The sequence below is a fragment of the Homo sapiens genome, chromosome 4 (genome assembly GCF_000001405.40).
Source record: "Homo sapiens chromosome 4, GRCh38.p14 Primary Assembly".
NCBI classification, from domain to species: domain Eukaryota; kingdom Metazoa; phylum Chordata; class Mammalia; order Primates; family Hominidae; genus Homo; species Homo sapiens.
In genome coordinates this window covers 21,942,432-21,953,946 of record NC_000004.12, presented here as the reverse complement: position 1 = coordinate 21,953,946, position 11,515 = coordinate 21,942,432, and the positions used below count along the sequence as shown (strand labels likewise).

Sequence of the window (11,515 nt, the reverse complement as noted above, 5' to 3'; positions counted from 1 at the left end):
AAAATACTACAGGCTGTGCGGTTTAAACAACAGAAGTTTACCTTCCCACAGTTCTGCAGGCTGGAAGTCCAAGGTCAAGGTGTCAGTAGAGTTCTATTTACACTGAGGGCTCTCTTCCTGGCTTGCAGACGGCTGCTGTGTCCTCACATGGCCTTTCTTCTGAGTGATTTCTTTTTTTTTCCTCTTCCTCTAAGGCCACCTCTTCCTCTAAGATTAGGCCTTCTATCTAAACTATGGACTTTAGTTAAAAATAATGTATCATTGGCTCAATTGTAAAAATGTACCACACTAATACCAGATGTTAACAACAGGGAAAACTCGAGGAGGGGTTACTGGAGAGAGGGTACATGGGAACTCTGTATGCTCATTTTTTCTTTTGAAAACCAAAAAGTCAAAAGGAAAGGATTACAAAAGGGATCAATGAAATTTCAGTGAGTGGAGGATGTGTTCATTATCTTAACTGTGCTGTAGTTACTTGAATGTATCTGTATGTCAAATCTTATTAAATTGTACACTTTATGTGCGGTTTATTGTATGTCATTTATACTTTAATAAATTTGTTTAAAAAAAACCAAAAAGTGCTCTAAAAGTCTATTAATTACAAAATAAATTACATTCTAAGATCTCCCCACCAAACTCAGTGAATCCATCCACAGGCTGGAGCAGAGGAGTTTTTAATCTGTTTAGATGATTCTTATGCATGTTAAAGTTTAAGAACAATCAAGAAGCAATTGAAAGCTCTAGTGTTTTAATCAGATGAACGTGAGTTCAAATCGCAGCTGCACCTCTTCACAGCTGGCTGTCCTTGGGCTACTTAACCTCTCTGAGTCTCAGTCTCATTTTAAAATCAGGGTAAGAATAAGTATATATGATGATTTTTCTTAGAATTAATTCATACAATGACATAGAGTTTTTAACACAGTGCATAGGTGCATAGTGTAAGTGCTCAGCAATTATGAAATAATAGAAGTTTTACTGTTACTGCCTGAGTTCTGGTGAGCCAGGGAGAATTGTGCCAAAATGTAAGGGGCTTTCAGAGAAGACAAAGCAGTAAAGGTAATAAGCAATAAAAAATCAGGAAATAATAAAAGTAATCCTGGATGCTTCTACAACATTCCATGGTTTATATATAGCTTTCACTTTCATTCCCTGACTTGATCCTGACAATGACCTTGTGAAGCAGAAATTCCCCTTTTTACAGAAGAGGAACTGAAGCTTAGACATGATCAGTGACTTTCCGGAGGACACAGAACTAGGAAATGTCAGAGTCTAGAGCATCGAAATTCTAGTGCAGGGTGACAGTACACTGTAGTAATTAAATATGGGGGCTCTTGAGTCAGACGGTTGGGTTCAAAGCCCAGATATACTGATTACTATTATAAAACTGGCAAACCAGTTCCCTTCTCTGAGGCTTAATTTCTTCACTAGTTAAGTAGAGATAATAACAGTGCTTATCTCCCAGTGCTTTGTAAAGATTAAATGAAATAATGTTCATAAAGTCTGAGATTCATGGCTGGCACATGGTGAGTTTCCTATTTCTGCACTCAATTTTGAATATGGTTCCTTGAGGGAAAAATACACATCCGTGCTATACAGAAAGTAATCTAGGGTTAGTCAGAGAAGGTGGCAATCTTTGTGCATGTGTCTTGAGGTTGGGAAGACGGGCTAGGGTTGCTACAGCCTCGGAGGAGTAATAAGAAGCTGGCACAGCATGCTGTGGCCTATGAAGCTCTTCTCTTTAACTAGTTGAAGTACTTAAAGAGCCAATAAGGAGATGGTACAAGCAAGACAGAGAAATCCTGGACTTTCGGTCCCAAATATCAAAAATGGCGGTAAATGTGGCAGTAAAAAGATAATTATTCTGTGATGTTTGGCAATGACTAAGAATCCGAGTAAAAAGGTCTGGACTTGGGATTTGTAGTAGCTAAACTCCCATACAAATATTTTGGAAATATATTAATATATTAATATTATATATTGATTATATTATATAATACAATATTTATATGTTAATATATTACAAACTTCTTCAGCACAGTGTCTACTTTACACGATTTTGTTGCCTTCTTTATAATTAGTTAAGGGGTAAACGTTTAGTAGGGCCACCATGGGCAGATATTCTTTGGATAAGATTTGAAAGATAGTTTGGTCCAACAAAATGTTCTGCATATTTTGGAGATGAGAAAGGGGTTGTGTATTACTTCCCACACTGTGAGGGAAGGTTGCTTAGACCTGTTGTAGAATATAGTGGTGCCATTTCTTCTTTGAGTTCACCATGACAAAATATGATGATGATAATGGTGATAACTATTACGATGGCAGCTCTTACTGACTCTATGTGCCAGGGGCCATCCTAAACACTTTACATATGCTGCCTCATATAATCTTTCCCAATAGTTAAGTAGACACTATTCTTTTCTTTACTTTTTTTTTTTGAGACAGAGTCTTGCTCTGTTACCCAGGCTGGAGTGCAATGGCATGATCTCGGCTTACTGCAACCTCCGCCTCCCAGGTTCAAGTGATTCTCCTGCCTCAGCCTCTTGAGTAGCTGGGATTACAGGCATGCATCACCACACCTGGCTAATTTTTGTATTATTAGTAGAGTTGGGGTTTCACCATGTTGGCCAGGCTGGTCTCGAACTCCTGACCTCAGGTGATCCGCTCACCTCGGCCTCCCAAAGTGCTGGGATTACAGGCATGAGCCACCTTGCCCGGCTGACACTATTATTTTCTTCATTTTAGAGTGAGAAAACTGAGGGAGGTTATTAGTCCTCAAACATACAGCTTGTTCACAGTTGGAACTGGAATTCCAACCCAGGCTGCAGAATCCAAACCAGCATGCTCAGGTAGCTTTAGAAGTCATCATATAGAAGACAAAATTTGGAGTTGGACAAGTATTAGTGATTCAAAGTTGTGGGTGGTTTCTGGAAAGAGTGTTAGCTACAGAAAAAGAGAAAGAAGTAGTTGGTCAGTAAGTTGGAAGTTTGCTAGGAGAAGTCTGCAGAAGAGGGAGAAGGTGGCACGCGACAGAATCGAATGATTGAATCTGATAGAATGGGCAGCGAGAAGACTTGTTATGAGGAAGCTGGCAAGTGGGAAGAATGCATTGGCTGTAAAAGTATGCAGACAAAATTCAATAAACATTTACACTGCACATGATCCCATCCTCTCTGACTCTCTCTCCTGTTACCCTTTCCTTCTCTCAATGTACTTCAGCCCTGTCAACCTCCTGGCTGCCCTGCAAACATGCTATTCTTATGTTAGCTCTTGCTCTTCTCTCTGCTTGGAAGTTCTTTTTCCCTTGAGATGCCCATGGCTAGCTCCTCGCTTTCATCAGGATTCCAATTAAATGTTGCCTCTTTCATAAAGCCCTTATGGACCCCCTATATAAAAGTGATCTCCCTAGCAGATCACTTCTGATTCCTTGATTTATTGTCAGTCTCTCTGCCTTCTAGATAGTCAGCCAATAACTGAGGGTCTTTGTTGTATTCACTGTGGTATCCCAGTGCCTATAATTGTGTCTTGTACACAGTAGTTACTAGATGTTTGCTGAATAATGAAAAAACAAATGTTTAGTGAAGACCAACTATGTGCAAGGAACTTTTCTAATTGCTTTGTCAATATAACATTGTTCTCAACTTCAAGAATCAGGGTTGCCTGTCTTTATACAGTGATTGCTACATGCCAGTCACGGCTCTAAGCCCTTTGCATCTATTGATTTTCTTAAATCCTCACAACAAAACAATAATGTAGGTACCAGTTATAGCTGATATTTGTACCAGGCCACAGGATTATGAAGTAGTGGAACTAGGATTTGAACCCAGACAATGGGGTGTCAGCATCTGTCTCCTTAACAATGAACTAAAAGAGTAAAAGGCTCTCAAGAAATATACAAATACATGCTACAAGGGCTCAAAGGACTAAGTAAATCGCTCGTGCGTTTGGGGGTGGGGAGAAGGGCAATAAGGTGTCAATTGAGACCTACTTGGAGAAAGGGGGAAGATTTCACTTGGTGACAGTGTGTATAAATAATCCAGCAGCCATAGGGAAGGCAAATAGTTTCACAAACACTTAGAAATGGCTTCCACCCAAGTCATGGCCAACTGACCTTGCAGCTGAGAGTGAGAGGGAATTTTAATTCAGTTTGCCTGGAGAACGGGTCAACTTGACCTTTCTTCTGAAAAGAGAGGCTTCATGCACTTGACTCTTGGGGACACAGAAATCTGCATTTTAATTTTGACTTCTCAAACAGTAACCATGGCCACAAGTGGTCTATTGGTTTCTCTTTACCTTCCCAACTATTCCCGGCCTTACTGTGCTTTAGAAGGGCAAATGACCTTGCGGGTGGTGAGCGATACCTCCTGGTTGACCTGCCTGGGAGATCTCAAATGAAACCCCCCACATGGATGCTTCTCCAAAATGCCACCAGTCTATGCCACCCCCTCTCTCCAAGGTGGTATTCTGCACCTCGGCCCTGCGATGTTCACCTGGAGTCTAGAGCCAGTGTTTCCCCACACTTAGCCGAGTCGCATGACCGGTTCTAGCTTCAATGGGGGAAAGTTTCCCGTCTAGGAGTTCTGGCGCTCTGCCCGGCTCCGGAGAAGGGCATCTCCTTGCGCTTCCTCTCTGGTGTCCTTCGAACTCAGCCTAACTTTGTGCAGCAGTATTTCCAGTCTAGCTGTCCAAGTTGGAGCCCCTGGGGGACGCAGCGGCGCGTTGAGAAGGCGCGGCGCCTTCGAGCCCCTCCCCAGAGCAGGCGCTGCTCGCAGTGACAAGGGGTCCTAGAGGCGCCCGCTGAGAGCCGCTGGCAACTCCCGGGGGTGTCCTGCCCAGCCCGAAGTCACCTCGGGTCTCTTTCGGGTCCATCTACTCTGTCGCCAGAGGCACCGTGCCACCCGCGGCGCTTTCCTCTCCCCGCACCCCGCCCCCCGCATCCCCAGTCCGGTGACTTGGCAGCAGGTGGCAGGGGCGGCGCTCACGAGGGCGAGGGGCTGGGGTCCCCGCACTCGAGCCGCCCGTGCAGCCCGCCCGCTTCCAGCCGCCGGCGCGAAGCTGCCGGCGCCTCGGCCTCCCCCGCCACCCCGCGCGCCCCCGCCGCCAAGGGCCGCGCAGCGCCCCCGGCGCCCCCCGCCGGCCTCCGCCCGCACCTGCAGCCCGCTCCGCGCGCCCTGCCCGCAGCCGCCGCCGAAGCTCTCGCTCCCAGCGCCACGGACGCCCCCGGGCCGAGCGGCGGTGCGCTCCCGTGCAGACCCGTGGACAGACGCCCCTGGCCGGTGGACTCTCGAGTCTCGCTTCTGCACCCTGCGTCCCTAGACATGAATGTGAGGAGGGTGGAAAGCATTTCGGCTCAGCTGGAGGAGGCCAGCTCTACAGGCGGTAGGATGCAATAAGCTTGCGAGCGGGCGCCCGCTTCCGCCCTCCTTCCCTCGCGAGCCAAGACGGCTGCCCCTTCCCTTCCTCGGCTGGGGACGCTTGTTGCCTTCGCTGCATGAGACACAGTCACCTGGCGGGACTGGGAAGGGGAGGTGGGAGCGGCAGGAATGGGGTGCAAAGGAGAGGGGGGTGCATGCAAGATCCAGGTCGGGGAAGAAAAGATGTTTGAAGTGTGTTTGAAACTCGCCGGTGGCAGGGTCCCCTGCGATCCTGTGCGTACTTTTGCCTTCTCTGAAAATTTCCGAGGTTGTTTATGCATCTGCCAGATGACTCCAGACCGCACGCTTCCTTCCCCTAACACCTGGGGATTAATGAGCTGAAATAGTATTGATCCTCGCCTTCCACTTTTCCTTCATGCCCCCACACGTTTCTTCATTACAACTGTATTTTTGTCCCCTGGTAATATACTGGCGGCATCTTGCCCATGTCAGATTCTAAAGCAGGAGCGTATGGCTTGTTTTATGGCTAGCTTCAGTTTAGTGTGTTCAGAGAAAATGGTCCTCAGTGACACTTGCAAATAATTTATATACAGTACAGCCTTGTTAAGGTATCGGGCACTGTGTTAGGAGCTTGGCTTTCAGAGAAACGTGCGTTCTGCGAAAGCAGGGAGAAATGTTTTGCTGTTTGGTGGGATCCATAGAGAAATAGGAGACGATGCCCTTCCACAAAGCGTCTTGGGTTGCATCGATTTGTTATTAGGTGGTTTTGATGTGTACAGAGTATTTTACAGGAGCCGGAAAGAGAATGGAAGTGATTTTGGGGCACATGAGAGTGATAAAGGGCTGGACCTCTCCCTGATTACATAAGCTAAGGGGTCACATATGGCTATAGCATAGTTTGGGTTTAGAGGGTGAAAAACTTGGACTCGAGGGCTGTAAACTTGCAAGCAAAGAGGTGTTTCCACTTGCTGCCTTCTTTAGTACTCAGGGAAATGGAGTCACCTCAACAACTTGAGTCAATCATTCGAATTTATGGCCATGAGAAATGGAAATGGACACCCTCCCTTTCTTTTCCTCACTCCAATAGTTAAGGTCATCGTAACCGGGAGGACACTAGTCTCACTTGAATATGAAATTTTAAAGAGAACAGTCTTAATCCTTTTGGACTGGAAAAAATAATATGAACATCACCTGTAAAGCCCCACATTTGACTTGTAACTGTGTTTAGTTCTGTTTTCACTTATGCCTGGAGATGCCCACTCATTACGAGCCAAGCATAAGTAGATTATCTCTTGTGAGAAATGCTTACAATCTTTAAGAGATCAAATGTTTCCTGAGTGGCGTGTTTAATGTAGAGGGCTGAGTAGTTTTGGGGTGTTGAGTTGAGTTCGTAGGGTCTCTGTCTTTGCAGTTCTTTAGAATAAACAGGGTAGAGGGCTAGCGCTGTCCTATTAGAGACACATTCACACACGGCAGCCCAGGGAACTCAAGGCTGGAGCAGATGGCAGGAATGTCGTCTCAGGATCTGGATGGCTTGCATTGCTTGGCTCCTCAGTGACCACAGCTCTTTGACTGTACCTGTTCTTCCATCAACCGGATGGGGATTGAATCAGCATGTCTAGACTATGCACAGGGTCATGGGTGGCCATAATCACTATAAATGGGAAATGAAGATGAAGTCACACCTGGGGAGTACTATACATTTAAAAAAGCAAACCTTTTACTGCTATCTCCAGAATCAGCATGTGTTCACTGTTTATTTAGAGAACAGAAATATGTTGTTTTATACCTTGGCTAAGGTGAGACCAAAGTGATGAGTTTTCTGGCTGAGAATTGATTTGACACCTGTTTCTTGAATTGTATTCACAAATTTTTAGTTAGTTGTCATATGATGAGAAGAATAAAGAAAAAAATAGTTTGGATTATCTTTTTTATTCTTGTTGATATTGCTTCAAAGCTAATATTAGAGAATGATCCCCAAATATGTAATACTATTTTCACCAAACATATGCATAAGTACTTTGCTTACTTGTGATCAGATATAGGATGGTCTTTACTAATCCTGGGATGAGAAGGGATGATTTTTAAAGGCTTAAACTCTGTCTTCCATTTTTGTTTTAAAATAATAGTCCCGATCTCTTGTTCTCTTTCCAATAAGTAGGCTATTTATATAACTCCCAAACTATCTTGTACTATGATACAGTTTTTCCTTGAATATATATCTCTGGAATGGAGGTTTATAAGATGATTTAGCTGGAATCTAAGCAAAATTTAACTGGAAGATCTAACTGAGAGAAATGTAGGTGGATGATAGAGAAATCAAGAATTAGAGAAGTGTGAGTCTGTGTGCGTACGTGTATGTATTTTATGACCTGACTTAGAGATAGAACACTGTGAAAAATGGTTTGCTGAAAGGCAAAGGATGAAACTACATGAATGGAAAGTAGAGAGGAAATGTTGGAAATGACAGAACAGAGTCGAGTTGCAATTCTGAAACTTTATAATAATTTAGTTTAAAAAGTTCGTTCCGTACTCTCTTCTCAACAAGTAAACGCATCTAGTATGCTAACTGATGAACACCACCTGTAAATCACTGTAATTGACATTGTTAATGCCAGAGAGGACAGAAAATGGGTGAGTTGTGCATAAGTACATACAAGTAGAGAAGGTTTCTTACAAATTAGAGTGCTCACTTTTGCCCTGCCAGCTTCCATGTTAAACCCAAAGCCTGACCAAAATACATTTTTCATTTCATTGTCTAATCCCATATTTTGCACTCCTGCTATAAAATCAGAACGTAATCCTGCTAACAGTGGAGAGACTGAGGGAGATGATAATTCAACTATGTTTGAAAGAGAATCAGAAACAAGGTCAGAGGAAAAAAAAAACTACAAAATTATTCATTGGTGTCCTTAATTTGTGCCATCTAACTTAGAGATGGCAGATGTTATGTGATGTAATCTACAACTAAAAATGAGGAAAATGTATGTTTCAATAGTAGAGTAAAAAAATGTCTTCAATTTTGAATTGCCATTTGATGGATGTATCGTGGCTTTGGCTTAAGTTTCATGTGTTTTAAAAATAAGGCAAACTCAAATTAGTAATTCCACAAGGGTAATATTGAAAAATCCATTTATTCTGAATCCATGAAAAGCTTTTCATCATACAATCATTATTTTATTTTCTTTATGTCATATAAATGTAAGAGGTGTACTAAACAAATGATAGGACAAAGTGTTGAAATTCAGCCACCCTCTCTCCCCAGGCCTGAAGCTTATGCCCTCTCATAAAATAAAGCTGTGGATGGTTTGGAAATTAATGAGCCATGCAATATAAAATCTGTGTGCAAGATTTCTGGAGAATTGTAGGCCAGGTAGTGGTTGATTGTTTTGAAGATATATTTCTGGGCTTAAATTATTAAGCCCTTCTTACTATTTTTTGTCCTTTTATTTATTTTTCGTGTTCTCACTTTTTCCAGAACATGTGAATAATATTGCTTTTCAATAATACATAACAGAATGTGTTTTTTTACTTAATAGCCTCTCTTCTTAGCGACTATTTCAAGTAGATTAACGTGTGAGGCAGGGAGGGGGTTGTGGGGAGATGAGTATTTTGTTTGTTCAAGGATCCTTTGCAAGTCTGAAAAATCTTTCAAAATTATATAACTGCACCCATTATTATAAATTAATTTACCCTTGGGCATTGAAGCACCCATTTCATTCCAAAAGTATTCATTTGGTTAAAGGTCCTGAGGGACTTTTCTCAATTCGTGTCGTCCTGAACTCACTGGGATGTTTCATGCTGTTTACCAACATGTGTTGGAAGACTGTGAGCTCTGTGAGAGCAGAAGTATTCTGTCCTGTCCACCACTTTATCCCCAGTATTGAGCATGAAGTCTGACTTGTAATATTTGCTCAACAACAGATATTGAATGAATGAAGCCTTTCCCACTTGCACTGAATTATTCTCCTTTCTCTGATTTCTCTCAGATCTCTCTTTTTTTTTTTTTTTTTTTTTTGAGACGGAGTCTCATTCTGTTGCCCAGGGTGGAGTGCAGTGGCGTGACCTTGGCTCGCTGCAATCTCTGCCTCTTGGGTTCAAGCATTTCTCCTGCCTCAGCCTCCCGAGTAGCCAGGATCACGGGTGCACCCGCCACCATGCCCGACTAATTTTTTTTTTCTTTTTGTATTTTTAGTAGAGATGGCGTTTCACCACGTTGGTCAGGCTGGTTTTGAACTCCTGACCTCAAGTGATCCTCCTGCCTCGGCCTCCCAAAGTGCTAGGATTACAGGCGTGAGCTACCGCGCCCAGCCAGATCTCCTTTTATGACACTTATTTCCTCTTTTTGCCCATTTTGTGCAGCCTTTCACATGGTTGTCTTTTAATTATCTTCTCCCTCTATACTCTCTTCCTAATCAAAGTGTGGCTTTGATTCTTATTTTGATGGGGAGTTATCTCTTGAGTGTATAGTCTGCTCCATTCCTCTTCTGCTCGTCAGACTCATAAGAAAGTTTTACCAGCACCTTAAAGTCAGTATGTCTAAAAAGACATGCTCTATCTTCTGAAAACAATTATCGTGGCAACATTTTTTGAGGCATGTTGTTAAAAAAAAAAAAAAGCAAGAGTCTCCTTCTCTATGGTATTCTCATCATGATGAATAAGTCACCAAGACTTGTTGGTTCTTTCTGTATTTTATATCTGTCTCTTCCTTCAATTTCCATTTCTACCACCAAGATTATGTTCTCAGCATCCTTTCTAGGCCATGAGGGTTACATCCTATTTGCACTAACTGCTTCTCCCCACTCAAAACCAACTAAATTTACTGAAACCTAACTTGAGTCATAGATTCTCCTGCACAAAATCTTTTAATGCCCCCCTCCATTACTTATAGAATCAAAAATACAAATTCCTTAGCTTGATTTTCAAGGCTCCTACGAAAATCATGACGCAGCTGGGTCTACACCTTGATCTGGCTAAACTGAACTGTTCCCTGGTCTCCAAACATATCTCCTTTTTTCTTTCTTTCTTTTCTTTTGAATCAGAGTCTCACTCTGTTGCCCAGGCTGGAGTGCAGTGGTGCCATTATGGGTCACTGCAGCCTCGAACTCCTGGCCTCAAGCAATCCTCCTGCCTCAGCCTCCTGAGTAGCTGGGACCATAACCAGCTATATCTCCTGTTTTACCCACTGCTTAGAATTAACTTCCTGCCCTCACATTGCCTGGTGAAAATCTGTATATCCATCAAGACACATCTGAAATGTAGTGTCCTTCTCTTGCGGGCTTACTGATTTCTCCCTGACTCCTCCCCAAATAATTATTCTTTGAATTTTCATAAGTTGTTTTTCTTTTATTGTTGATATAGATCTGAATGACAAGGCAGAATTCACTGGACATAATTTGTCTCATTTGCAGATGTTCTGTTGACTTTTTGATGGCAAGTAGTACCATGCAAGAATTACTAATTTTTGTACCTCTAGTAAGCACTTCTACAATGCTTCACAAACTAGTAGACATTTAGACCAGGAATGGTGGCTCACACTTGTAATCTCAGCACTTTGGGAGGCCGAGGCTGGCAGATCGCCTGAGGTCAGGAGTTTGAGACCAGCCTGGCCAACATGATGAAACCCGTTCTCTACTAGAAATACAAAAATTAGCTGGGCGTGGTGGCAGACACCTGTAATCCCAGCTACTTGGGAGGCTGAGGCAGGGAGAATCGCTTGAACCCAGGAGGCAGAGGTTGCAGTGAGCCTAGATCGCACCATTGCACTCCTGCCTGGGCAACAGAGTGAGACTCTGTCTCAAAAACAAAACATAACAAAACAAAACAAAAAACTAGTAGATATTTAAACATATTGATTGAATTAAATCACGTTGTCCCATGGTAGACCCACCAAAGACCAAAGTTACAATTCACATTTGATTGCATGTTAAGCCATTGGCTGAAAGTGACTTTTGGCTCCATGTCTTTCCATTCAGTGGACTGAGTTTATGAGCACAGTACATGACATCAAGATAATGCTCCTTTGAACTGTGAATGTTCTTGCATCTATAGCACCATGACTATCAGAGTGTACAGTGTTTCTGAAAAAGAGCTTAATAGATGCCCAGTGTTTTTGTGTATTTAGGGCAGTCATCAATGTCATC

At 42.9% G+C, this 11,515-nt stretch overlaps 1 protein-coding gene across 3 annotated transcripts in view, besides 2 other annotated features; it reads left to right on the top strand.

Moving 5' to 3' along the window:
• Window positions 4,227–4,727: an enhancer, noted in NCBI's record as "H3K4me1 hESC enhancer chr4:21950843-21951343 (GRCh37/hg19 assembly coordinates)". NCBI's record gives its function as "activates a minimal SCP1, AML or CMV promoter by ChIP-STARR-seq in primed H9 embryonic stem cells {active_cell/tissue: H9 hESC(primed)}" and the evidence as "EXISTENCE:reporter gene assay evidence [ECO:0000049][PMID:30033119]".
• Window positions 4,728–5,228: an enhancer, noted in NCBI's record as "H3K4me1 hESC enhancer chr4:21950342-21950842 (GRCh37/hg19 assembly coordinates)". NCBI's record gives its function as "activates a minimal SCP1, AML or CMV promoter by ChIP-STARR-seq in naive H9 embryonic stem cells {active_cell/tissue: H9 hESC(naive)}" and the evidence as "EXISTENCE:reporter gene assay evidence [ECO:0000049][PMID:30033119]".
• The window catches only part of KCNIP4 (potassium voltage-gated channel interacting protein 4), a 1,220,167-nt gene continuing 1,213,826 nt past the window's right edge, over window positions 5,175–11,515 (top strand). For all 3 annotated transcript variants that reach the window (NM_147181.4, NM_025221.6, NM_147182.4), the window contains exon 1: window positions 5,175–5,376. In NM_147181.4, the coding sequence (NP_671710.1) occupies window positions 5,316–5,376 (61 nt within the window). In that variant the 5' untranslated portion in view covers window positions 5,175–5,315. The remainder of the gene's footprint in view (window positions 5,377–11,515) is intronic.